The sequence below is a fragment of the Homo sapiens genome, chromosome 11 (assembly GCF_000001405.40).
Source record: "Homo sapiens chromosome 11, GRCh38.p14 Primary Assembly".
Classification (NCBI taxonomy): Eukaryota; Metazoa; Chordata; class Mammalia; order Primates; family Hominidae; genus Homo; species Homo sapiens.
Window position 1 is genome coordinate 2,925,964 of NC_000011.10, and position 25,805 is coordinate 2,951,768.

General features: G+C 54.9%; 2 protein-coding genes across 15 annotated transcripts in view, besides 9 other annotated features; both read right to left on the bottom strand.

The window, feature by feature from the left end:
• PHLDA2 (pleckstrin homology like domain family A member 2) lies at positions 2,310-3,457 on the bottom strand. The gene is made up of 2 exons (NM_003311.4): positions 2,933-3,457; positions 2,310-2,704 (listed from the first exon to the last, which is right to left on the bottom strand). Exon 1 carries the CDS (start codon positions 3,399-3,401, stop codon positions 2,943-2,945), a length of 459 nt encoding a protein of 152 aa, NP_003302.1. The 5' UTR covers positions 3,402-3,457; the 3' UTR covers positions 2,310-2,704; positions 2,933-2,942.
• Positions 2,734-3,342: an enhancer, noted in NCBI's record as "H3K27ac-H3K4me1 hESC enhancer chr11:2949927-2950535 (GRCh37/hg19 assembly coordinates)". NCBI's record gives its function as "activates a minimal SCP1, AML or CMV promoter by ChIP-STARR-seq in naive H9 embryonic stem cells {active_cell/tissue: H9 hESC(naive)}" and the evidence as "EXISTENCE:reporter gene assay evidence [ECO:0000049][PMID:30033119]".
• Positions 3,343-3,952: an enhancer, noted in NCBI's record as "H3K27ac-H3K4me1 hESC enhancer chr11:2950536-2951145 (GRCh37/hg19 assembly coordinates)". NCBI's record gives its function as "activates a minimal SCP1, AML or CMV promoter by ChIP-STARR-seq in naive H9 embryonic stem cells {active_cell/tissue: H9 hESC(naive)}" and the evidence as "EXISTENCE:reporter gene assay evidence [ECO:0000049][PMID:30033119]".
• Positions 3,953-4,561: an enhancer, noted in NCBI's record as "H3K27ac-H3K4me1 hESC enhancer chr11:2951146-2951754 (GRCh37/hg19 assembly coordinates)". NCBI's record gives its function as "activates a minimal SCP1, AML or CMV promoter by ChIP-STARR-seq in primed H9 embryonic stem cells {active_cell/tissue: H9 hESC(primed)}" and the evidence as "EXISTENCE:reporter gene assay evidence [ECO:0000049][PMID:30033119]".
• Positions 7,576-8,188: an enhancer, noted in NCBI's record as "H3K4me1 hESC enhancer chr11:2954769-2955381 (GRCh37/hg19 assembly coordinates)". NCBI's record gives its function as "activates a minimal SCP1, AML or CMV promoter by ChIP-STARR-seq in primed H9 embryonic stem cells {active_cell/tissue: H9 hESC(primed)}" and the evidence as "EXISTENCE:reporter gene assay evidence [ECO:0000049][PMID:30033119]".
• Positions 14,146-14,322: a silencer, noted in NCBI's record as "fragment chr11:2961339-2961515 (GRCh37/hg19 assembly coordinates)". NCBI's record gives its function as "represses an EF-1alpha promoter that drives an FKBP-Casp9 reporter gene in an ReSE screen in HepG2 liver carcinoma cells {active_cell/tissue: HepG2}" and the evidence as "EXISTENCE:reporter gene assay evidence [ECO:0000049][PMID:32094911]".
• NAP1L4 (nucleosome assembly protein 1 like 4) overlaps positions 18,474-25,805 on the bottom strand; it is a 47,893-nt gene continuing 40,561 nt past the window's right edge. For 8 of the 14 annotated variants that reach the window (NM_001369380.1, NM_001369382.1, NM_001369381.1 and 5 more), the window contains 2 exons: positions 25,296-25,352; positions 18,474-19,683 (listed from right to left, as the gene is read on the bottom strand). In NM_001369380.1, the coding sequence (NP_001356309.1) occupies positions 19,645-19,683; positions 25,296-25,352 (96 nt within the window). In that variant the 3' untranslated portion in view covers positions 18,474-19,644. Of the gene's footprint in view, positions 19,684-23,263; positions 23,302-25,295; positions 25,353-25,805 lie in introns of all 14 variants that reach the window. The other 6 variants (NM_005969.4, NM_001369377.1, NM_001369376.1 and 3 more) reach the window with 1 other exon arrangement.
• Positions 19,824-20,439: an enhancer, noted in NCBI's record as "NANOG-H3K27ac-H3K4me1 hESC enhancer chr11:2967017-2967632 (GRCh37/hg19 assembly coordinates)". NCBI's record gives its function as "activates a minimal SCP1, AML or CMV promoter by ChIP-STARR-seq in primed H9 embryonic stem cells {active_cell/tissue: H9 hESC(primed)}" and the evidence as "EXISTENCE:reporter gene assay evidence [ECO:0000049][PMID:30033119]".
• Positions 20,440-21,053: an enhancer, noted in NCBI's record as "H3K27ac-H3K4me1 hESC enhancer chr11:2967633-2968246 (GRCh37/hg19 assembly coordinates)". NCBI's record gives its function as "activates a minimal SCP1, AML or CMV promoter by ChIP-STARR-seq in naive H9 embryonic stem cells {active_cell/tissue: H9 hESC(naive)}" and the evidence as "EXISTENCE:reporter gene assay evidence [ECO:0000049][PMID:30033119]".
• Positions 21,054-21,669: an enhancer, noted in NCBI's record as "H3K4me1 hESC enhancer chr11:2968247-2968862 (GRCh37/hg19 assembly coordinates)". NCBI's record gives its function as "activates a minimal SCP1, AML or CMV promoter by ChIP-STARR-seq in primed H9 embryonic stem cells {active_cell/tissue: H9 hESC(primed)}" and the evidence as "EXISTENCE:reporter gene assay evidence [ECO:0000049][PMID:30033119]".
• Positions 21,670-22,283: an enhancer, noted in NCBI's record as "H3K4me1 hESC enhancer chr11:2968863-2969476 (GRCh37/hg19 assembly coordinates)". NCBI's record gives its function as "activates a minimal SCP1, AML or CMV promoter by ChIP-STARR-seq in naive H9 embryonic stem cells {active_cell/tissue: H9 hESC(naive)}" and the evidence as "EXISTENCE:reporter gene assay evidence [ECO:0000049][PMID:30033119]".

Below are 25,805 nucleotides of genomic sequence, written 5' to 3' on the forward strand. Positions count from 1 at the left end.
AGGCTGCCAGCCACCCGAACCCCAGAACCGCACCAGACACTGCCAGCCACCCGAACCCCAGAACCGCACCAGACACTGCCAGCCACCCGAACCCCAGAACCGCACCAGACACTGCCAGCCACCCGAACCCCAGAACCGCACCAGACAGTGCCAGCCACCCGAACCCCAGAACCGCACCAGACACTGCCAGCCACCCGAACCCCAGAACCGCACCAGACAGTGCCAGCCACCCGAACCCCAGAACCGCACCAGACACTGCCAGCCACCCGAACCCCAGAACCGCACCAGACACTGCCAGCCACCCGAACCCCAGAACCGCACCAGACACTGCCAGCCACCCGAACCCCAGAACCGTACCAGACACTGCCAGCCACCCGAACCCCAGAACCGTACCAGACACTGCCAGCCACCCGAACCCCAGAACCGTACCAGACACTGCCAGCCACCCGAATCCCAGAACTGCACCAGACACTGCCAGCCACCCGAACCCCAGAACCGCACCAGACACTGCCAGCCACATGAACCCCAGAACTCCTCTGGTGTCCCCTTATCTCAGCCTCTTCATCCTACAGCTCAGTGGCCCCCAACATTTTCCGCACCAGGGACCAGTTTTATGGAAGGCAATTTTTCCACGGATGTGGGTGGGCCAGATGAAACTGTTTCACCCCAGATCATCTGGTATTAGATTCTCATGGGGAGTGCTCAACCTTGATCCCTCTTGTGCACAGTTCACAACAAGGTTCTCGTCCCTGTGAGAATCTACTGCTGCCGCTGATCTGGCGAGAGGTGGAATTCAGGCGGTCATGCTTGCCCCGCTGCTCACCTCCTGCTGTGCGGCCCAGCTACTAACAGGCTATGGACCAGTACCCATCCATGGCCTGGGAACTGGGGGTCCCTTCTATAGCTGATTTGCTGGCCAGGCCATGTACCGTTGCCTTCCCAGCCTCCTGACCACAGCACTTCCCGACCCCTCACCCCCACCCCCTGGTCCTGGGCTCTGGGGAGGAGAACTGGGCATGAGGAGGCCAGCCCAGCCGCTGTGACCGATTGACCCATCTGGAGAGGACAGGCTTTCCACAGCCTCAGCGAGGGTCTGCAGCTGCCCCTGAGACCATGAAGGCCGCCCCTCCTCTCCTCGGGCTGCTTTTAAAAGAAGCTGTTGAAACATGGACTCCCCAAACCTTAGAATTCCACTGTCCTCAGAATTTGAGGAATTCCAAAATTCCTCAAACAAGAAGTGGCCTCAGTGAGCCAAGGGCCATCCACCCTCTTCGCCTAAAGCTCAGGCCGGATCATGCCTATGCTTGAAGCACCCAGGGGCAAGGGCTCTCCTCTTGACCTTGGATATCCATCCAGGTGAGGCTCTGGTGGGCCAGCCAGGAGGCCCAGGAGCCCAGCCAGGCAGCGTCCTTGGCTGCTGTTTTCTGCTTTTTGCAGGAGCCCCTCCCCGATCTGCACAGGGGCTTCACAAATTGCGTTCGGGAGAAACTTCCTTGCAGGCAATAGTTTCTTCTGGACCTAGCACCAAGACTCCTGCGGGCCATGCAGCGAAGGGATAGCACCCTCCCCGCCCTGAGCCCAGACCAGCTACCAGGCTTCGTCGGCCTCCTAGCAACAGAGATTAGGGTCCAATTCTGGTACTTCTCTGCCTCCCCTACTGGCATCCCTCCAACCACGAAGGTTCCAGAAATGAAGGCCCCATTGTGGGGTGAGGAGTCATGCCTGTACCCCTTATCACCTCCTCAGCTTGTTCATCACCAGGAGCCCTTCTGGGTGGGGGACACACTTCCTGAACCCTAACTGTCTCAGACCATCCCTGTCTTTCAAAGAGCACAGCCAGACCGGAGGGCAGAAAGCCGTGGTCAGCTATCTCAGAAAGAGGGGCAGGGATTTGCTGCACTCAGGCCTCTCCACCCCAATGTCCTGGGCCAGTACCTGGAGGTGCAGGGACCTCTGCCTCCTGCCCCACCATCGGAGACAGCCCAGAACTCTCTCCTGTTCCCCCAGAAGCAAAGGCGACCCTGCCCGCCCCACACTGCGGGCACTGGCAAGGAGCGGCTGGCGGCGGGCAGCCAGAGGGCTGAGGGATTCCTTCTGGTCTGACTGCGCGGGTGGTTTGTGGGCAGGAAGTGCTGCTGGGGAAGGTTCCCCCACCACAGGCAGCAGCAGCTCGGACCCAGGGCCCTTGTCCTCCCCAGGTTCAATTCCTCAGGACACACCAAGGAGCAGAAGGTAGCCAGGGTCAAGCCCCAGGGCACTTCCTGGCCTCTGGGGAGGCTGCTTGGAAAAGAGGGTGTGGACCAGGCCCAGCAGATGACACGATTCATTTATTCATTCAAAGCCGGTTCCCAGCGCCTTTCACACCAGCCCCGCAGGACTGGATGAGGGTGTCCTGCCCGCCCATTCCTGGGCCTCCACCCTCCCAGCAGGAGTCTCACTGAGCCACAGCCGGATGGTAGAAAAGCAAACTGGCCAAGTGATTTATTTGCAATGGGCACAGTGATGCAAAAACAAGATATTAAGACTATAAAATATGTGACTACAAAGAACCAGCGAAATAAATACATAGATATTAGATAGTCCAATAACTTAAGGCGCCCGTGCAACGGAGCGAGGATCCGCGCGCACGGGAAGTTCTTCTGCTGCAGGGCTGGAGAGCGCCGGCCACGTCCTAGCCTCGGTCCGACTCGTCCAGCGTATGGCCCTGTGGGGAAAGGACTGGGTCAGAGAGCTGTGCCAGGGCCGGTCCGGGTCCAGCCTGAGGGGCCCCGAGACCCTGACGCGAGGGGGCCAGCGCGATTGCGGGGCGCCGGGTCCCCCAAGGAGGTGCAGCGCCCCCGCCCCGCCGTCTGGGGTTGAAGTGGTTTTTCCCAAAGGCCCCGGTCCCGGCTGTTAGGGCGCAGGGCTCGCCGGGACGCGGGCAGTCACTCACCGCGGCGGGCTCATGGCGTGCGGGGTTTGGGCTGCGGGGATGGCCTGGAGGGCTCCGAGGGCTCGGAGGGTGCGGCGGCCGCGGCAGCCACGGCGTCCTCGGCGGGTGCGGCGGGTGCGGTGCGTTCCTGGCGGCTGCGAAAGTCCTGCAGGGCGCGGCGGTTCTGGAAATCGATGAGCGCCAGCGCGATGGCCGCGTTCCAGCAGCTCTCGCCCGCGCAGCGGAAGTCGATCTCCTTGTGGTCGGTGGTGACGATGGTGAAGTACACGTACTTGCCCGTGCGCTCCACGCAGTCCACCTTGAGGATGGAGTGGAAGCGCAGCTCCTTGGGGCGCGCGCGGGGGCTGGCGGGGAACAGGCTCAGGCGGTCGGAGGTGAGCACCCCGCGCTTCTTCTTCCATAGCTGGAAGAGGCTGTCGCTGCGCTTCTCCAACTCGCCCTCGCGTAGCACCTCGTCGGGGGATTTCATGTCGTGCCGAGCGCGGGACTGGGAGCGGCAATGCGGGCGGTGACGGCGCCGGCTCTGCTCCTCGTGGCCCCGGCGCGGCCTTTATAGCTGCCCCTCCCCGCCCCGCCCCTCCCCGCCCCGCCCCGGCCCTCGGGCCACCCCGCCCGCCTGAGCCCCGCGCGCCCCGGGCCATACCCTCCCCAAGCCCAGCCGTCCGGGCCCGCACCGTCGCGTCCGCGCTCTGGTCGGTCCCCGGCCGTCCCCTCCCATCTCAGAAGCCCGCGCTCCTCTTGCCCCCCGTGCCCCAGCTGTCCGGCCCCGTGGGGTGACTCGAGGTCCCGCCCCGCCCGGGCGCTCGCCCGCACCGTCTCGCAGGCCGGCCCCGCGGAAGAATGCGCTGCAGCCAGCCCTGCCCGCGATGACTCACGCCGGGGAGCCCCGGGAAGCACCCGCGGGCCCGGGGCCGGCCCACCGTGGGGAGACAGCCGGGACCAGACCTTCACCCTCCAGGCGCCCCAAGTCCAGCCCTGCCGCTCTCGGGCTCCCGGGGCAGAAGGAGGGTCGAGGCCCCCTTCCTTACTCCCGAGCCCTGGCCGTTCCGTCCTGTTCGGGGGCCTTTCCCAGGGCCGCCCAGAGACCCTCTCCGAAAGTGGCCCTGCCCTAGCGGACCGAGCTCCTATCTTGCCACCCACGGGCTGCGCCAAGAACGACCACCTCTCTTAGCCTCGGTTTTCGCTTCTGTGAAATGGGAACAGTAACCTTTGCTGGATTAGGGAACACGTGGAAAGGGCTAGACCAGCAACCCATAGAGCTCAGAAAATGGAAGGGGAAGAGGAAGCCCGTTCTCCTCCCTGCGCCCTCGTAGTGTCCCGAACTGGGGTACGGACTGCTCCGACCGCGCCCCCACGACCCGGACCGGAGAGAGGTCCCAGGAGCTGAGGGGTTCGGGCTGGGCCGCGACGCCCGCTCTCTGGGATCAGCCTGGGGGCGAGGGTCGGCGGGGGCGGCTGAGTCATCGCTTTCCAGCTGGGCAGACGGGCGGTTTTATTTACCCTCTTCCTTTAAAGGGTTTAATAGACAGGAAGCGAAAGCCGGCTCTTCCCGGGTTCCCAGGGGTGGGGGTGGAGCCGGCCGAGAGGACCCCAGAGACCCCGGCTACTACTCCACGTCTCCCACCTTCCCGCACCCCTGCCCCCTAGCTGCGCCCTGGGGTGGTTACAGCAGGAAGTCCCAACTCTGGGGTCAGAATTGGCCTCAATGACGGGGCTCACGCAAAATGAAAACGAGAGTCCCCTGATTCAAAATGTATTTAAAATGTCAAGACAGTGGCAGCAGAGCGTAAAACCCAGACCTGGGACCAGCCCTACCTCCACCTGCCCTTCAGGGTCACTGTAAAGGATAAAGAGACGTCCGGCTCAGAGGAGCGCCCCAGACCCGGTTCTGTGAATGGCATGCAGGTAGCAGCTGCCCGGTGGTCCCACCGGTGTGGCCAGAGGACCTGGCAGTGGGCAGGGATGTGGTGTGGAGGGGCAGTGCCGGCAGAGGGCAGGGTTGGGCTGTGCCAGGGTTCTGGCCTGGGAGTGAGACACCTGCCTGGGGCCGGCGGGTCAACACTGCCCCCTACCTGACACCTGTCCTTGCAGCAGGGCTGGGATCCTGTGGTGAGGGAGCAGCAGGTAGGGTGGGTGGGTGAGGGGAGGTCAGCCTTTGGCGGGGAGAGGGGATTCGAGCATTGTTCCGGAGAGGCTGCAGGAAGGATTCGGACTCTGGTGTCCCTTCTTTTGCTTCCAGAGGGCCCTGGGCTGCCGGACAGTGGGACCTGGGCAAGAGGCACCTCTGGGCAGTGGGAGACCAGGAGAAGCGGCCGGGGGCAGAGCGCTCTGTCACTGCGCCAGCCCACAGGTGCCTGGAACACCTCCAGGCCCACCAGCCTGCCTACCCCATTGAGGGGCCAGCCAGTGGAACTTCGGCTCCAGGCAAATCCCCCGACACTCGTGGTTGCTTAAGCACCTACTGTGTGCCTGCAGGCCTGGCTGGTGCTGGGACCCCAGAGGAGGGGAGAGGAATCCCTCTAAACCCCAGGGGCACAGCAGGTACATGAGGATGGGGATAGGGGTCGGGGGTACTGGAGGCCAGGAGGACAGCTTGGAGGACTCTGTGGGGAGGGCGTGCCCTCGAAGATTCCAAGGAGACCTTGAAGGGCCAGTGGTGCCCGTATGCCACCACTGTGCCCAGCCTCCACCTAACCCAGAGAACTCCCCAAAGTGGGCACTCCAGCCCCTGTTCCACAGAAGAGGAAACTGGTTCAGGATGGAGAGGGCCTTGGGGAAGGGACAGAGAACAGGCAGGAGCAGATAAGGGGCTGAGAGAAATGAGGGGGAGGAAGAGGGTTTGGAAACCAGGTGAGGCCAGGTGAGGTGTGCTCCCCCAGCCCCGCCCAGCTCCTCTCTTTGCCTGTACCCCAGTGGCCCTCTCAAGGGAGGCTGGGAAACTCACTCCCCTGGGGGCAGGACTTACAACCCAGGGGTGATGCTCTGACAGGTGGGGCAGGAGCTGGGAGGCCAGGGGGCAGGGTGTGCAGCCGAGATTCAGAGGCCCTGCCCTCCCTAGGGGATTTCCTGCCCACTCAGCCCCTCTCTGCTATTCCCCTCATGGACACTGTGAAGACCTGGGGGGTATGGGGGTGGATGGCCCTTTAGGGGCTGCTGGAAATCAGGTCTGAGCCCTGGAGGCCAGGCCTCCCCAGGCAGCTTCTCTGCCCACAGTCCCTGCCCCAGGGGCTCAGTTGTAGTGGCCCTGGCCTCCCCAGCAGCTGCTAGACACCCTGGGCCCCTGCTCGGCCAAACCAGCCTGAACCTGGTTGCCAATGTGGGGGCTGGAGGGAGCCGACTCCCAAGCCTTACCAGCCCTGGACCAGCAGGTGACTTCAGGAGCCCCCAGGGTGTCTTTATGGACATGGGCAAAAATAAACCACGGCCTTAGGAGGTGAGAGGGGCTTGGAGGACACCATGCCAACTTGGCAGGTACTTGCACACAGGGGCTGCCCCATCCTCTCTGCGTCCACCATCCACCCGAGGGGCTTTACCACCACCACTAACTCACACTGCCGTCTGCCCCTCTGAGCCACCCGCCCTCTGCCAGCCCCCGCTCGGCCTCCCTTGCCTGAGGCCTGAGCCTCACCGCCTCACCTGGTCCCACCTGGGGCTGAGCGGTGCCCCCAGGAGAAGCACTGGCCCCAAGCTGCAGATGCAGAAAGGGTGGCTCAGAGAGGTGCAGTGACTTGTCAAGGTCACCTTTCCAAGGAGGGACCCTATCTCTATCCCCCAGAGCAGGCCTGCCTGAGGGTCCCCTCTGGAGGATGAGGGCTGTGACACTCACTTCCTGGGATGTGGGGGAGGGATGTTGAGGCAGAAGAGTGCTGACACAGGGACCCCACATGAGGGTCTTTTGAGGAATGCCCCTCCTAGAGCCATTTGATAGCCAAGAGCCTGGGAGCTTCTCCAGCACAGCACAGAGATTGGAACCCGGCGTGGATTCGGCCACACCCCATGGGACCTGCTTCTACGAGGGTTCTGGACCACTCACGTGCTGGAGGCGGAGGAACCACCTGCCGGAGAGATGCCAGGGCCAGGCACCGGCAGGAGAGTCCGTGTGGCCCTGCCCCGTGCTAGTTCTGTGCGGTCATTTCTCCCTGTTGAGACTGCTTTCTTGGGTTTGCAGGGAACACTGGGTGGGGGTTTCAGAGAGGTGGTGACTCACCCAGGTTACACAGTGGCCAGTGCGGCCACATCCACAGCTTCCCCGATTCTGTGGCACCCTGTGGCTCGGGGCAGGAAACAGCCCTGATGTTCTGTGACTGCTTCTCAGGATGGGGAGGGGGCTCTGCCTCGAGTTGGTGGTGTCAGGCAGCATCAGTCCAAACCGGGTTTACTGATATTTATCTGAGGGGCCACATCCAGGATTCATGCAGAGCCTGAGCCAAGGGCCCCCACCCCTGGGCAGGCATTGTACAGTCTGGGTGCCCAAACATCTGGCCTGGGACACTGGCTGCCCTGTCCAGCTGCCTGGACCCTTGGCACCGGAGCCCAGCTGTGTGAGGCTGTCAGCAGCTGGAGTAGGATGCGGGCACCTCTCCGAAACTCCCTGAGTGAGGTCACTTCCTTACGGTGACGAGGCCGGGCCCTCCAGGCACTTGCCCAACGAGCCTGGCCATCCTGCCAGCCTGTGAGGAAGCTGCGTGTCACAGGGCCCGGCCCAGTGCCTGGGGCTTGACACCACCCTCTTGTGGGAGGGGTTGCTCAGAGAGAGCCCTGCAGAAAGGCCCACTGCTCCTCAGTCAGGAAGGCCCACCCCTAGCTCCTCTCACCCCCTCCAGGAAGCCCTCTCAGATTGCCAGGGCGCACTCTAAGGCCTGCCTCCTGCCAACCACATACTGCTAGGCCATGGGTCTCCAAGCCTCCGCCCACCTGAGCCTGGGGAGGCTGGGGGAAGACCTAAGCTGCCTGGAGCTGCAGCACCTGAGCAGTGCACTGGTGCCACCTCACCTGAGCCCAACATGGCCCATGTGCCAGGGCCTGTGACTCAGGCTTGCCCTCTATCTGTCTCCTCCCAGCTGCAGCCTGAGGAAAGTGAGAGGCCCCGTGGCATGACCCACCTGGTTTTCAGACACTTGCTGTCAGCCTGATCTTGGCCTTGGAGGGCTGTGTTCTCTGTTGCTGTGTCTCTTCCTGAGCTCTTCCACTGGAGCCTGACAGGCAGGTCCTACCTCACAAGATGTTGGGGATTGATTGAGAAACCAGGAACACCCTTCTCCTTGGCCCCTGATGAGCTCCTGTTTATCCCTCAGTACCCTGCTCAGAAGCTATTATCAGCTCCTTAAATGCAGTGATAATGTTTTATTCTTTGGGAGCCCCAGGGATCAGCCCAGGCACTCAGGAAATGGCTAAAAAAGCATCCTGAGGCCGGGCTCGGTGGCTGACGCCTATGATCCCAGCAAGTTGGGAGGCCGAGGTGAGCAGATTGCTTGAGCCCAGAAGTTTGAGACCAGCCTGGACAACACAGCAAGACCCCCCCATCTCTACAAAAAAAAAAATAAAAATTAGCCAGGCATGGTGGCATGTGCACTATAGTCCCAACTACTTGGGAGGCTGAGTTGGGAGGATCACTTCAGCCCAGGCGGTCGAGGCTGCAGTGAGCCGTGATTACTCCACTGCACTGCAGCCTGGGTGACAGAGCAAGACCCTGTCTCAAAAAATAAAGGCATCCACGTCATTGTCCAAAAGACCCCCTCTGCACTGACTACTGAACGTGCAGACTGTTGGCGTGTGTATGAGACCAGACAGCCCCTTGCTGCCTCGGGTGAGACTGGCAGTCAGGCGTGCCAAGATGAGGGGGCCCCGTGGGGCAGAGTGGGGCCTCCGTCGGGCTCCATCAGGCTGGTGTCACCTCCACAGGGCTGCTTGTGGGTGGTTATGGAGCCTCCAGAGGTTGGGAGATGGGGCCAGGACACAGGGAGCTCAGGAAAGGGCCCTCCCAGCAGTCACTCGCAGATGGAAAACAAGAGCAGCCAACATGACCGCCCTGCACCTGGCTTGTGGGGATGTCTCCAGAAGCTTGAAGGAGTGAACCAATGAACAAAGGAACAAACAAAATACAGGAAGGGAGAGAGGGAGGACTGAGGTGGCCCCATGCCCTGCACAGGGCTCAGATTGCAGAATCGCTGGGGCAGCCTTCTCACAGCGCAGATGCTCACCCTCCTGGCCTGAACTTCTCATTCCGCCGGTCTGGGGGAGCCCTGGCAGGTGTATTGTCATTAATTATTTCCAACGTTAAAAAATTACCAAAGATAGGCCAGGTGCTGTGACTTGTGCCAGTAATCCAGGGCTGCTTTGGGAGGACCAAGTGGGAGGATTACTTGAAAACAGGAGTTCAAGACCAGCCTGGGCAAGACAGCAAGACTCCATCTCTTAAAAAAAAAAAAAAAAAGTCCAGGCGCGGTGGCTCACGCTTGTAATCCCAGCACTTTGGGAGGCCGAGGCGGGTGGATCACAAGGTCAGGAGATCAACACCGCAGTGAAACCCCGTCTCTACTAAAAATACAAAAAATTAGCCGGGTGTGGTGGCCAGCACCTGTAGTCCCAGCTACTCGGGAGGCTGAGACAGGAGAATGGCGTGAACCCGGGAGGCAGAGCTTGCAGTGAACCGAGATCGTGCCACTGCACTCCAGCCTGGGTGACAGAGCGAGACTCCATCTCAAAAAAAAAAAAACACGCCTACCAAAAATATTAACCAATTGTTGATATAAAAAGTAAAAAAGAGGCTCGAATTATTTCAGAATTGATGCTGGGCACAGTGGCTCGCGCCTGTAATCCCAGCACTTTGGGAGGCCAAGGCAGGCAGATCACTTGCAGTCAGGAGTTGGAGACCAGCCTGGCCAACATGGTGAAACCCCGTCTTTACTAAAAATGCAAAAAAAAAAAAAAAAAAAAAAAAATTAGCCGGGCATGGTGGTGCACACCTGTAATCCCAGCTACTCAGCAGGCTGAGGCAGGAGAATTGCTTGAACCTGGGAGGTGGAGGTTGCAGTGACCTGAGATTGCACCATTGCACTCCAGCCTGGGCAACAGAGCAAGAAAAAATGAAAAAAAAAAAAAAATAATAAAAACAAAATTGAGTGTTCATCTCTCATGTCCCCACCTAGGGCCACTCTCATCCTTTTTTGTTTGTTTGTTTGAGATGGGGTCTTGCTCTGTTGCCCAGACTGAGTGCAGTGGCGTGATCTTGGCTCACTGCAACCTCCGCCTCCCAGGCTCAAGCAATCCTCTCGCCTCAGCCTCCTGAGTAGCTGGGACCACAGGTGTGTACCTCCATACCCAGCTAATTTTTTGTATTTTTGTAGAGACAGGGTTTCACCGTGTTGCCCATGCTGGTCCTGAACTCCTGAGCTCAAGCAATCCACCCATGTCAGCCTCCCAAAGTGCTGAGATTACAGACATGAGCCACTGAGCCTGGCCTCTTTTTGTTTTATTATTATTATAAATTTTTGAGACAGGGTCTTGCTCTGTCACCCAGACTGGAGTGCAGTGGTGCAATAATGGCTCACTGCAGCCTTGACCTCCTGAGGTTGTGATCCTCCCACCTCAGCCTTCTGAGTAGCTGGGACTACAAGGCACATGCCACCATGCCTGGCTACTTTGTATATTTTTTGTAGAGATGGGGTCTCACTGTGTTTCCCAAGCTGGTCTTGAACTCCTGGGCTCAGGCAATCCGCCTGCCTCATCCTCCCAAAGTATTGGAATTACAGGTGTGAGCCACTGTGCCTGGCCTCATCCTTTTTAAAAAAGCATTTACATTTCCTTTAACAATTGATTTTTGTTTGTTTGTTTTTGAGACGGAGTCCCACTCTGTCATCCAGGCTAGAGTGCAGTGGCACGTTCTTGGCTCTCTGCAACCTCCGCCTCCTGGGTTCAAGTGATTCTCCTGCCTCAGCCCCCTGAGTAGCTGGGACTACAGGCATGTGGCACCACGCCCGGCTAATTTTTTTGTATTTTTAGTAAAGATGGGGTTTCACCATGTTGTCCAGGCTGGTCTTGAACTCCTGCCCTCAGGTGATCCACTTGCCTTGGCCTCCCAAAGTGGTGGGATTACAGGAGTGAGCCACAGCACCCAACCTCCTTTAATAATTAAATATAGGATTGCCCTGTGATCCAACAATTCCACTTCTCATTCACATGCTCACAAGAACTAAAAGTTAGAGTCTCTCCTAGAGATCCATGCACACCCATATTCCCAGCAGCATGCCAAAAGGTAGAAGCCACCAAGTATCCACTGACAATGGGCACACACGATGTGGTCCACACACACACTGAATAGTCACTGCCTTAAAATGGAAGGGAAATCTGGTCGGGCACGTGGCTCACACCTGTAATCCCAGCACTTTGGGAGGCCAAGGCAGGTGGATCACCTGAAAAATTGGCCAGGCGTGGTGATGCCTGCCTGTAATCCCAGCTACTTGGAAGGCTGAGGCAGGAGAATCGCTTGAACCCAGGAGGCGGAGGTTGCGGTGAGCCAAGATTGCACCATTGCACACCAGCCTGGGCAACAAGAGTGAAACTCCATCTCAAAAAAAAAAAAAAAAAAAAGGAAGGGAATTCTAACACAAGCTACAGCACGGATGGACTCTGAGGACACTATGCTGAGTGAAATAAGCCAGACACAAAAAGACAAGTACTGAATGATTCCACATGTACCAGGTCCCAAGAGTCGTCAGATTCAGAGACAGAAGGTAGGAGGGCAGGTGCCAGGAGCTGGAGAGGACAATGGGGAGTTTAATAGGGACACAGTTTCCATTTGGGGAGATGAGAAATCATGGAGGCAGATGCTGATGGCGGCTGCATGACAGTGTGAATATGCTTAGTGTGAATATACTCAGTGTGAATACGCTCAGTGTGAATATGCTGAGTATGCTCGGTGTGAATATGCTCAGTGTGAATATGCTCAGTGTGAATATGCTCGGTGTGAATACGCTCGGTGTGAATACGCTCGGTGTGAATATGCTGTGTGAAAATGCTCGGTGTGAATACGCTTGGTGTGAATACGCTTGTAATATGCTCGGTGTGAATATGCTTTGTGTGAATATGCTTTGTGTGAAAATGCTTAGTGTGAATACGCTCAGTGTGAATACGCTCGGTGTGAATATGCTCGGTGTGAATATGCTCGGTGTGGTGTGAATATGCTTGTAATATGCTCGGTGTGAATATGCTTTGTGTGAATATGCTTTGTGTGAAAATGCTTAGTGTGAATACGCTTAGTGTGAATACGCTCGGTGTGAATATGCTCGGTGTGAATATGCTCGGTGTGAATACGCTTAGTGTGAATACGCTCGGTGTGAATATGCTCGGTGTGAATATGCTCGGTGTGGTGTGAATATGCTTGTAATATGCTCGGTGTGAATATGCTCAGTGTGAAAATGCTTAGTGTGAATACGCTTAGTGTGAATATGCTTGGTGTGAATATGCTCGGTGTGAATATGCTTGGTGTGAATATGCTTGTAATATGCTCGGTGTGAATATGCTTTGTGTGAATATGCTGTGAATATGCTCAGTGTGAAAATGCTTAGTGTGAATACGCTTAGTGTGAATACGCTTAGTGTGAATATGCTTAGTGTGAATACGCTTAGTGTGAATATGCTCGGTGTGAATATGCTTAGTGTGAATACGCTGTGAATACGCTTAGTGTGAATATGCTCGGTGTGAATATGCTCGGTGTGAATATGCTCGGTGTGGTGTGAATATGCTTGTAATATGCTCGGTGTAAATATGCTCAGTGTGAAAATGCTTAGTGTGAATACGCTTAGTGTGAATATGCTTGGTGTGAATATGCTCGGTGTGAATATGCTTGGTGTGAATATGCTTGTAATATGCTCGGTGTGAATATGCTTTGTGTGAATATGCTTTGTGTGAATATGCTCAGTGTGAAAATGCTTAGTGTGAATACGCTTAGTGTGAATATGCTCGGTGTGAATATGCTCGGTGTGAATATGCTTAGTGTGAATACGCTGTGAATACGCTTAGTGTGAATATGCTGTGTGAATATGCTTAGTGTAACTATGCTTAGTGGCACTGAACTGTGCACTTTAAAAAATGGTTAAGAATGTAACTTGTGATGTACCCTTTACCAGTTTTAAAAATGCATTTACATATGAATATCCATGCAGGCGGGGGTATGAGCTTGTGTCTCTTCCTCTGTCTGGGCCATCTTCCAGGAACCCCCCACCCCAGCCCTCATTATCTGGAATCCTCCATGTCTCAGCCACCCCTTGTGATGGTTGGGCTTGGGCTGGGTCCCTGTTGCTGTCATCTTACATGGCACTGCCTTCCTGCACACCAGACATGGCACTGCTGGGCTAGCAAGGCCCTCAGATGTGTGGTAACTGCCAAAATGGCCTGCCAGTGGGGCTGTTCCTATTCACCCTTTCCCCCAAGGGCTGCAATGCCAATCTCCCCATGGCTAGGCCAATGGTGGGCACTCTGTACTTAAAAAAAAAAGTCAATCTGGGCAATAGCTCACGCCTGTAATCCAACACTTTGGGAGGTCAAGGTGAGTGGATCACTTGGGTTCAGGAGTTTGAGACCAGCCTGGCCCACATGGTGAAACCCTGTCTCTACTAAGAATAGAAAAAATTACCCTAGTGCAGTGGCATGCACCTGTAATCCCAGCTACTCGGGAGGCTGGGGCAGAAGAATTGCTTCACCCTGGGAGGTAGAGGTTGCAGTGAGCTGAGAAAGTGTCACTGCACTCCAGCCTGGGCCATAGAGTGAGACCCTGTCTCAGGAAAAACCAAACAACCAAACAAACGAACAAAACAACAACAACAACAACAACAAAACCCCACAATCTGGTGGTCAAAAACTGAGGTCTTCACACACATTTCTCTATCCCTGGGGTGGGGGCAGCCATCTCTCTGGGTGTCTGTGGCCTTTGGCGTGGCTGTCTTTTCCCCTCTTCATGTGCTTTGGTCTGTTTGAAAGACCCCTTTCATGGACTGAATGGTGGCCCCCAATAAGACATATCCATGTTCTACTCCCTGAAACCCACGAATGTTACCTTTGATGGCAAATGGGTGAACATGACCTTAGTGGCTAGGGTGTGATATAGGAAAGGCCCCTGAGAGCAGGAGCTTCCCCTGGACTACCCAGGTGGGCCTCACAAGGGAGAACTATGGAGAAGCAGGCATAGGGGTAGGAGGCCACGTGAGACAGAGGCAGAAATCGGAAGGAAGTGGCTGCAAGCCAAGGAATGCCTGGAGCCCCCAGATGACGAGGAAGGGTCCCCACATAAGGTCTGGTGTTCTGGTCCTTGGGGAGGGCAGCCCCTGCTGAAAAGGGGCAGGTTGAGACCCAGGGACCACTTCAGGCCCTCGCTGGCGGCCCCCAGGCTGGGGGCAGCAGACTCTAGCAACTCTGGCCAGTGCCTGCACCTGAGGCCCCATCTCCAGGCGTTCCCTCTTGTCCTCCCAGCCCTGCACCCGCCTTGCTCAGTGAGGCACTGTCCTCCCTCCTCGGACTGGCTTCCAGCCAGGCAGGCACTGGTGAGGGCCGGTGTGGGCAGCCCTGCCATGCCCAGGGTCTGGGTTCTGAGGAGGTGAAGCTTCTCCCCATGTCCCAGATACAGAAACTGAGACCTAGGGAGATTTGGAAACTTGGTGGACACCACAGACTTCTTGAGGAGCTCGACAAGGGTGATCTGTGTGGGTCCGCCCTGAGTGGGGTCCTGGACACAGCTGTAGCTGCCCCGTTTCTCCTGGGCTGGGCTGGGCTGGGCCAGGCTGTTGGGTTGTCATGGTAAGTAACATCCGGCTGCCACCCTCAGAGAGCCATGAGTCAGCATGGCCAGGATGGGCTAGTGATTGGCACCTTGGGGACAGCCTAGCAGGCGGGGCCTCCCTCAGGCACACCAAGGTGACCTGGCCTCGGCAAGAGGCGTCCAGGCCTCACCCTGCAAGAGCTGGGCCCTGGCTTCTGTCCTGAGACTCGGGTCTGCATCTCTTAAATGGGGAATGTCCCAGGCGCATGAGGTGCCTGGAAACCCACACCAAATTCAGCGCATCAGAAGCTCAGCCAGGGCCAGCCCGAGGAGGCGTCCTTCCAGGAGGCCCTGCTGTTGGGGGCCACTGCTTGCCAGTGTCTCCTGGTGGGTGGGGTCCAAACAGCTGGGCCTGGGGTCCCTTGGGCCCCCCACTCCACATGGGGATGCTCCCTGGGGCGGGCTGGGGAGGAGGTGCCTGCTCCAGCAGAAGGAACCTGGGAAGGCACCTGTTCTGAGGGTTTTGGGGCAGAGGCCGAAGTCCATGCCAGGCTGTGGCCAGGCTGGCCTGGCTGGCAGGGAACCACAGGCTTCTGCACACAGCAACCCCTTCTGCAGGCCCAGGGCTCCCTCAGGGCACTGCAGCTGGAGTTGGCTGAGTCTGGGACGGTCACTTCTCCCACCGCTGCCCCTGGCTGTTCCTCTGTTGCTCACCAGTTGCCCAGCCCTGAGCCCTGACTCAGAGCCAGGCAAGCCAAGGACCCAGCAGGGGCAGGTCAGAGGTCAGTAATATCAAGGTGTGCCTGGATGAGCCAGGCAGAGGCCAGGGGCTCCACCTACCCACCTGGCTGGCTGGTGGAGCCAGCTGGCTGCCCCCTACCCACCCCACCCCTGCCTCCCACCTCAGGGGCAAGCTTGGATCCTGGCAGCTCATGCTGACTCAGCCTGCCCAGCGATGGGGCTGGGGGCAGCCTAGGGCATTTTGAGAGTGGGACAAGATGGGTGGGGTGGCAGGAAGCCCTGGACCTGGGACTTGGGGAAGGGGGCTCTGGCCCCATGGGTGGCCCTTGGGCCTGGGGAGGTTTGCTGGGCAGCAGGACAGGAGCAGAGTGGGATGTCGGCTTGGTCCCAGCTCCACATAAACGGGAGTCATGAGCCTAGAGAGCAGACTGGCCAGGTAGGCTGACCTGGGGTACACACCACCCGCGGACCCACACGCCAGGCAGCTGTGGACAAGGGTCCCAGGTGACCCTGCTGGGGAAAGCAGCAGCCATCAGGTTCTAGGGAGCCATAGCTCCTGACTCAAGGGAAAAAACAGAATTTTAAGTGGAATCACCCTGTTTTGGGGACTTCTGAAAACTGAGCTTCAGGCCAGGCACGGTGGCTCACACGTGTAATCCCAGCACTTTGGGAGGCCAAGGTGGGTAGTTCACCTGAGGTCAGGAGTTCGAGACCAGCCTGGCCAACATGGTGAAACCCCATCTCTACTAAAAATACAAAAATTAGCCAGGTGCAGTGGTGCATGCCTGTCATCCCAACTACTTGGGAGACTGGGCAGGAGAATCGCTTGAACCTGGGAGGTGGAGATTGCAGTGAGCCGAGATGGTGTCACTGCACTCCAGGCTGGGCAATGGAGCGAGTCTCCGTCTCAAAAAAAAAAACAACGCTGAGCTTCATTGAGGACTAACTTATATACAACCAAATATACCCATTTTTGATGTAACTCAATGAATTCTGACAGACGTATACACCTGTGTAACCACTTCCATCCCTCTAAAGCGTTCCTTGGTCAGTCCCCCCACCCCAGATCCCTCCCAGGCAGTCACCGGCACTATAGCTTTGCAGGCTCTAGAACCGGACAGAAACAGGGCCCTCCAGGTCTTCTGTGCCTGGCTGCTTGCCGTGCGGGTTCTTTCCCTCCTTGCCCAGGAGCACCCGTGTGATGGCAGCTGACAGAAGCGTCTGAGCCACCTGTGCAGGGGGTGGGGGTGCCCCAGGCCCCACCTCCCATCTCCCGGGCTGCTCCCCAAACTCCTGCCCTGACCCCAGCGCCACTGGTTTTGAGTCTCAGTTCCCGCACAGGGTGAACAGTCACAGGAAGGGCAGGGGCTGGGGGAGCCCCAAGCGGGGTGGGGTGGGTGGGGCGGGGCTGGACGGTGAATGTCTGCCTCCCCAGCCAGGGGCTGAGTCGGGAAAAAGGAGGGCCTGGGCTAGCAGAGCTGAGGTTCTGTGGCAGACCCCCTGGCCTCCAGGACCAGAAGGGAAGCAGCCACCCTTCACCCAGGCCAGGCTGGGCGGCCGCCACAAGCCCCCACTTCCCAGCTGCCTTCCAGATGGTGGCTCTGGGCAAACCTCTCAACCACTCAGCGACTTTCGGTGACCACTGATGGCTGAGGTTCCTGAGCTGACAATGGCCTGGGCCTGGGATGGTTCCTGGGCTCCTTGGCCACTGGAGAATGACCTTCCCTTTTCTGAGACCCTGGGGTGCAGGCAGGACACGGCGGCCATGCAGGGGTGACAGAGGCCGGAGGTGCTGAGGTCCTGGGGGAGACCAGGTTGCCTGCACCCTCGGGCCTCCACAGCTCCCCAGGCTTCACGTTGAGGTCCTGCACCCAGATGTCCTTGGAACTGGGCAGCATCCACGAACCATGCACTCCCAAGGTCAGACTCACTGGCGGACACAGGAACCCAGCTCAGTGAAGGATGCACGCAGGTGGGTGCAGGGTTCTCACACACTTCTTACTCAAAAGGGAAAATCCAGATACCCCCACCCCCAGAAGCCACAATGTTAAGCCCTTTCCCCTGCTTGTGCAAATCTGATCGAAAAGTGCAAATCTGATCTAAAACCACCCAGCTAGGTAGTGAGGGGCACTCCCCAAGCCTGTGGAGCCCTTCCTAAAAAGGCACTCTGGGCACCCAGTGGACAGGGCAGTGTGCAGGGCTGTCTCCGCAGCTGAAGGGCGGGTCACTGCAAAACAGCATATGCCCCTTGGATTATGGGGTCTGACCCTGGGCAGACCAAGTAAGGCCAGGGTGCTGCTCACCCATGGGGCCACCCTGAGGCTGGGGAGCCTGAGACCAAGCTCCCCCAGGTACTTCACAGGATGGGGACGGAGGAACGGGTGCAGGAAGCACAGACATCAGGCTCCCCGGCCCTTGGGGGTATGCTGCAAGCATTCACTTCCCAGCCTGCACCTGCCCTTCCTGCTGCTCCCAGAGAGAAGGCAGCCCACGGGTGAGCTGGAGGCAGCAGGGCGGGGCCAGCCACGTGGGGAGCAATGAGCCAGCTCCACGGCTGCCTTCTCATGACAGCGTTTCATTCACCAGGCGGCGCTGCCAAGGCTGGGATTCCCACGGTCAGGTCAGGAAGTGCCTGTGCAGCAGGTGTTGAGTGCCTCCTCTCATTGTGGATGGAAGAGACACGGGGAAAAGCTTCAGAGAGCAAACACACCTAACATGGGCTTTATCAGGAAGTTCTCCTCTTGGAGCCTTCTGGATCTACAAAGCACAGTCCCACTAACTCTGAGAAATGATCCCCTCCTGGGGGCAGGAACAGTCTTCCCCTGGGCCCGCAGTGAAGCTGCCTGCATACAGCAGCAACTTAGGTGTAGTGGGGGGGCTACAGCAGCCTCTGCCTCAAACTGAGCTTTCAAGGCCTCAGAAGTAAACTGTACAACCGGTCTTGGAGCCACCAATACCCAGGGCTCAACAGAGCCCAACAGGTGTGCAGCACATCTGAGCCTTCCCCACCACATTCCCCTGCAAAGACCCACATGGCACAGTGCTGACTCAATGTTTCACCACTTTAATAGAATATTCTAACTATTCTGTACAAATTGAAAACACTGTATTCAGTTACAAATGTGTTCTAAGGTTAGGCCGAGCACTCTCCACAGGCCTGGTCAGTGCGGACACGGCCATCCCCGGCTGCCGGAGAGCGCCGTCACCCACTTGAAAACCCCACCCACCAGCCGCCAAGCGGTCACACCAAACCCAGGACCTTCAGACAGGATGAATGGTGGGGCCCCGCAATGGGGCTACTGAGAAAGCAGGACTTGACGCTCATACGCTCCACTGAAACGCAGGACTTCCCAGCCCAGTCCCTCAGTGGAGAAGACTGCCGAAGCCCGGCTCCGGCAGCAGGGTGGCGCCTGCGTCATGAGGACGGGCTCGCATCTTCAGCCCTGGTGGCAGGGAGCGGCGTTTCTTCCGCACAGGCCTTGCGCCTGCTAGGAAGTGGCACATCTTCCTGCTCAGGGCACCAAGGTGGTTCAGAAACGTTAAGGACGAGCCACAGCGAAAAGCCGCAGTCCTCACAGGCAAGAAGGGATAAATAAATATGAGGTGACCCGCAGCAGCTCTCACCTGGGCTGGTGTGTCACAACCCTGACCCACCCCTAAAAAAAAAAAAAAATCAAGAAGCAACATCCTAAGGAGAACAGGGCCCTACTCTACACAGCCCTTTCTGAGATGATCGGCATACAGCAGGTGATGCAGGCTGCACACTCAGCAGATTCAGCGGCTGGAAACAGCAAGTGGGTTTCTTCGGATGAAAGGGAAGAATTCAGTCCAACTGCAGGAGGGGTGGGAGAGGTTCCAGATCCTGGGAACCACATCACCAGACCTCGGCCCTTTTTGCCAAGTGACCCCCACCCCACCCTGATGTGGTCTACAGGGCCCTCCCACAGGGAAAGGCCCAGGGAAGTCCAGAGCTACAGGCACCAAGGCTGCAGAGGGTGCTGGACGAAACCTCCTATTTCTGAAATGCATTTCAGTTGCCACTGTACAAGTTAAGCAAAATAATAAGGAAAAAGGAAAAGTGAAAGTGAAAATCATGCACTTGAAAACGAGTTAGATGGAGTAAGCTCTGTCCACGGGATTGTGCTGCGGCAAGGACCGAGGCCCCGCCCACAGGCCTGGAGTCCCGACAGCCGGTCTGCCAGGCACCCGCCTCCGCTTCCTACTGCTGCTTGCATTCCGCCGGCTGGCTGGGTTCCTTCTGTCAATGAAAAAGACAAGGCTTGTAGAGAGCAAAGCCAGCTCCATTCACCAATTAGCTCCAATCAACAATGAAAGCCAAGACTGAATGAGTTCATTCTCATTGAAAAAAATGGTTACTGCAAATATACTTTTAAAAATAGTGACAAAAACAAAGCTAACTCCCCCTACCACCCTGCAGTCAAAGCAGGGTTTTTTTTTGTTTTTAAAGCTATGCCTTCAAGCATTCAAATTCATGGCATGTTCAGCAGGAGGGTTTTGGGGCTCCTTGGGGTGGTGGAGCTCCAGGGGCCTGCCCATGAAAGGGCTGGGAAGCAGCTGGAACCCCTGCCCACACAGAGCACAGTGCGCTCAACACGGGCAGCTCCATCCAGGAAGGCCACCGCGGAGGCAACCCCTCTTGGTGCCAACAGTCCCCACTTCTCAAGGGCACATCTGTCTGGGGGTAGGCTGGGCCCTTGGCGCTCATGGAAAGCACATCTCTCCTCTAGCGGGTTCCTGCTCTTTGTACTACCAGGGAGCGCCCCGGCAGATCCATCCTCTTCTGGTGGCCTGTACTGCACCAACAAATGATGAGCTGCCACTCCCAAGAGCTCCATCTGTCACTCACTCTCCTTCACTCTCCTAACAGTCTCACCAAGGGGCAATGCTATCCTTCCAGTAACGGCATCCGGGACACAAAATTCCCCTCCCAGAGGAATGGATTAACTCCAATATTATCTAACACAGAGATCTTGTACCCTTTAAACCACATCCAGCAACTCCATGAATTTGTGTGGAGGCCAACAATAGCCTAAGAAATACATCACGATCTTGCTAATGCTTCTGCGCTAGTAACTTTACGAACCTGTAACCTATGATTTCTGGCTAAGATTACAAATTGCCCTTAATCCAGCGTGCCTATGGAACCTAAGAACTTGTACTGTATGGGGCAAAAAGATCCCTGGGTTACCATAAATGATATCTTCCACAGTATAAGCTGAGGCTACAGTTCATTCTTTTGGAAATCACATTTAAGGGATGGCCGAAAAAATATGTGTAAAATATGCAAAAAACAAAATCAATAACCTTGAACCCTGGTGTCTAAGCTCCCAATCTCAGCCACCCCAGAGGCTGCCCAAAGAGCCTGGCCAAGACAAAACGAGGCTGACCAAAAACCCTCGCCATGTCAATCTGACATTCAAGGGTAGACTGAAGGTGGCCCAGTGTAGTGGCCAAGAACACTGAGCCACTGGCCTTAGGAGTGTGGGGGATGCAGGGCGCCCCGAGCAGGAGCAGTGAGGGGAGGAGTGGGACAAGCAGTGTGCCTCCACCAAGGGACTCGCCTAGAAAATGGGATGTCAGTAAAGGAGCTGTGCAGGGACGGGGAAGACTGGGGCTGGTGACAAGGTGACAGACTCCATCTTTATGTACATTTAAATTACGCAAATACTATGTCATGTCATACACAGGACTTTATAATTTATCCTACCACAGATTGAGCATCCCAAATCCCAAATCTGAGATACTCCAAAATCTGGAACCCAAGACAAAGAAAATGCTCACGGGAGGATTCCAGATTTGGAATGCTCAACCAGAAATAAATCTAAATTATCCTAAGTTGCAGAAATGATGTAATAGGTATTTTCAACCACGAGAATGTAGTATTCATCTGTCCTAAATAAAACCAATATCCTGGGTGAAGACTGCTAGAGGGAATAGAGTCCGCATAGAACACTCTCTCAAGACCGGTGTCATGACCCAGTGCCTTGCTGGAGGGGAGTAGGCCATGCACCTGACTCTGGGAAGAGCTGCCTCCCCCGTGCCTTGAGGGCACAGCCCCCTCTGGGAAGGAAGGCAGCATGTGGCCCACCCCTGCCAGGCTTTGGTGCTCACACAGCACACTGGAGCTTCTGCAAGTGACTGACAGGAGTTTTAGAAGTGAATTTTACATATGAGAGACACCAATTGTTTTTAGCTTGTGACACATGCCGAAAAAAAAAAAACTACACCTAAACTCCCAAACTGAAGCGTCCTTTATCTCATGTCACAAATTTTAATGATGGTTGAGTCATTAATCAATGCTAAGATTATCAAGGGAGGAGGAGTTGGCATTTTAAAAGGTACCAACTAATAGGAAAAAAATCTCATCTCTCATGGGACCATTTAAAAGGTGGGGTTTGAACAGATAACACTCGACCTGAGAAAGGCAACAAAGACATGCCGCTGAAACACACTCGACCATAGCTGCGCTGGCGAAGAAGCCCCAAGTGCCCAGAGCCCTATGGCTGAAGAGGCAGCAGCCTCAGTGGGACACTCCTCGGGGGTTGCTGCTGTTGCACCCTGCCCTTCTCTTCCAGGGAGGCATACTGAAATACGGATAGGTGGCACGCATCGAGGATTCTCTTCAAAAGAGCTGGTGGCATGGGAGGGGTGGCGTGGGAGAGTGGGTGAGGGTACAGGTGGAATAAGAGTGGCTAAGTTCTTCAGACATGCGGGGACAACAGGAATTAATGGCAGCTAGACATAATTTTAAACATACAGCCATATTCTGAAACCTGGCCCTGGAAAACAAAATCGTTCCAAGAGCTGCATCCGCCCTATGTACCATCAGTTTCCCATGAAAGCAGCCTACATGAGGAAGACAGGGAGGCGGTGGCGCTAAGACCTCAAGGACGTCTGGTCTATGGGCTGCCAGGATCATGCTGATGTTCTGTGACGAGACCCTTAAAAACGGAGTGCCTACTTATCCTGGCATGCAGAGGCCCTGCTATGGTTGTGGGGTTCCTCATGGCACCTCTTGTCCCCACCTCTCTGCTTTCTCCCACTACATCCCGAGTGCCACGAGTGAACAGGTCTCGTCACGGGCAAGAGCCTCTGTCTACTTACGGCCTCCTGTCAGCATTCCAGGACAGGGCAGAGCTACAGGGACTGAAGAAAGTGGAGTGGGAAACAGCTTCCAGGCTTACTGACACTCACTTTCATCTACAACTGGTTCTTGCTTCATTCAACTAGCACCAACCTCACAACAGTACTTTTTACTGCTGACACCAAAACAGATGCCAGTTCATGTTTCAGATAAAAAATGCTGGCACAGTAAAAGCTGTTACCCCTCTGTGTACCTATTGGTCTGCACAAAACATGAATTCAAAAAGTATAGATATTCAACAGACACGTGTTGGTAATGACAGTGGGCCAATTTCAACTGCCAGTGTGTGTTCTGAGCACAGCTGGGACAGCCCAGTGTGTTATGCTCTCTGCAAGGACTGCTTGCTTATGGTGGCCCGTGTGTGCCACCGTGCAGACTGCTGACCATCCAGGGCCCTCTTACTGGAAAGCAGTACCATCAGCAATGAAAATTACACCCAAGTTACATCTTTGCTACTTGGTTAGCAAGAAACACTGGGCTCAGAAAGCAGGGACCAAATCTAGGTTTGGTTCGTTGATTTTAAAAGTACATGTAACAGACACCTATGTCAAACCTGTGACACAGTGAGTGTACCTGGACAGCAACTCCCTCTTTATTCAAAGTCAAAACAATGCATTGTATAAAGTATAGATCAGAAGTTTGGAAGTTAGGTATGAATGGAATTCCACCTTACCTAGAAACGTATGAATGATTAACAGACAAAAATTACACCTAAATGGGGAAAAAAATTGAAAGGAACTGTCAGCATGAAAGAAAATGAAATGCACAAAATTATACAGGAGGAAACGGCCACAATTTCTCATGATACAAAAGGGCTGCAAGATACTGAACTCGGGGTGAACAACTTCAACACTAGATCATACTTTCAAAATGGGCAGAAGCATGATTTTCACTTCTATCAGACTGCTCCCAATACTAAAACCTCCCTTCCTTCCTTGTTTTCTTTTGCTTGCACAGACTCTAACACTGCCCATCTCTCTGGAAGGTGCATGTGACAGGGACAGCAGGCTTGGCCTTATCCTGGCCACACATGCCGGGCCGTCTCTGAACTTCATTCACACCATTAGCCGGAACATGTTTTTAGTCCCTTCTCCCCCAACCAACATAACCGTTTATCAAAGGTTTCATGGGGTGTTAGCATGTGTAATCCACCACATCATGTTCTCTGTAATGGCTGGTGAGAATGCTCTTTTAGAAACCTGGGACGTGAAAGGAGACTCAAGGTTCTCCAAGGTGACAGAGAAAGCAGAACAAACAACAGAGGGGAGGAAAAGAGAAGCTGAGGCACAGAATACAGGGAGGGGGAGATACAAGTGCAACAAGGACAGAGGCAGCTGTGCGCGGAGTCTGAGGAGGTGGCCCTGCCAATTGACCCCAGTCCTTGCTTTACAACTGCAACCTTAAAAGTGTCCATTCAGCGCCCACAAGGCGGAAACACAGCCCAATAAACACACGTGGCCCTTGGGTCCATCAGACACCCCGCACAGCAGTGATGGGCAGCATTTATTCACCCAACGTTGTTCACTGGCTGACTGACAGCCCTCACCTTCCCTGTCCGCACACTGTGATGCACGCAAGGCAGACCCAGGCCTTGGTCTCCTACAGCCCTCACCGCCCACCACCACGGTGCTGCGCACAGGTACGCTTTCAGCAGAGTCCTCCCACATCAACAGGCCAAACTTTAGAAGATGAACATTTCCATGAGCAGATTATTCCCAGAGTAGTCTTTATAAGACACATTCTCAAAAAAGTTTTAAAAGCTCTTCTCCCATCCCTTCCTTGAAGGAACCACAACTGTGAACATGCATTCATGGAAACAGCCAGTTTAAACCAACTGATGACAGAGCCAGAATATCACACTGACAGCTTTTAGTGCACACTCCAAAAAACAAGGGTAAAAACAAGCAAAAAACGTCTAGTCGGACAGAGACACATTACAAAAACACCAGGTAACGTTAGTATTCTGACAGCCCATAATATACTTAATTTTAAGAGGCAAGTGAACTACACATTTCATGTTTTACAAGAAGAAACTCTTATGATGCTGTAGGATGACATTTAAGCACTTCTGATTTTAAAATGTGCCAAATGGTCAAAGTACCTTGATTTAAGTTACTCTGAGACCACAAATAAAAATCTAAATTTGCAGGTAAAATTAATGGGGTTGCCCACTCATTTTCAACTCAGTTTTCTTTAGTAAACCTTTCCAATTTATTTTAAATTATCTGAGACATATGAGATATCTAGACACATCATCTGGGCATGCTCAGCTCAAGTGCAACTGGGTCAAATGATGCCCACAATCCCATTATTCTGTTCCTTAACAAAAAGAGCCCCAAAGTCCCTTCTTTGCACCTTTTCCAAACACGCACAAAGAAAAGTTTATTTATGTTGTCAGTTAAATCATTACCTTACCTTAAAAGAATGAAACACTTGGAAAGTCAAGTTGCTCTACTGAGGAGTCTATGTAAATAAGACACAGCTTGAGACAGCTGGAAAAGCTTCTACTGAGTATGTACACTCAACACTCAAATTATAGACACAGTGTCTGAATAATCATTCCACTATTTTTCTGACACATTTTAAACTTTCTAATTAGGGAATAATGAATATTGTTAACACTACTGCCTCAAAGTGGGGAACATTTTTAAAAGTCTAAGAGTGCAGCATAATAAGTAGGTCTGGGTGGCCCCAAAGTTACCAACCTTGGGGTTAATTTCCGCATCATCCTCGTCTTCTCCCTCCTCGTCACCTTCTAATTCCTGTATTTAAAAAGTGAGAATTAGCTGGAATGACAAGATTTAAACTCTTGTGGCATTCACAATCCACAAACACAAGGAGCAAAACACTGCCTTAGATGGAAATCAATTACTGCTACCCACAAGTGACTCATCACTTCCTTTGGACACTTAGAATTATTTCTAGGTATCTTTTTGTTCTCACAGAGAGCCCTGAAAGAAACAAAATTCTGAAAAAGTAGATTTTGTTAAATGATTATTTTCTAAGATACATTTTCATGAACCAACTGCAGGGTCAAAAACGATGGAAACTGTCACAGCATTTGCTATGCATTTCTGCTTAGTGTTTTAAGAACATTCTTAGAATCAAAGACAGCGTCACAAAAAATGGGTTTAACACAGCCCTGTGAGTCCATAACCTTCAAGCAGAGAAAGCCAAAGAAACAACTTCAGGGAGGTAAGTGGCACTGCATAAAC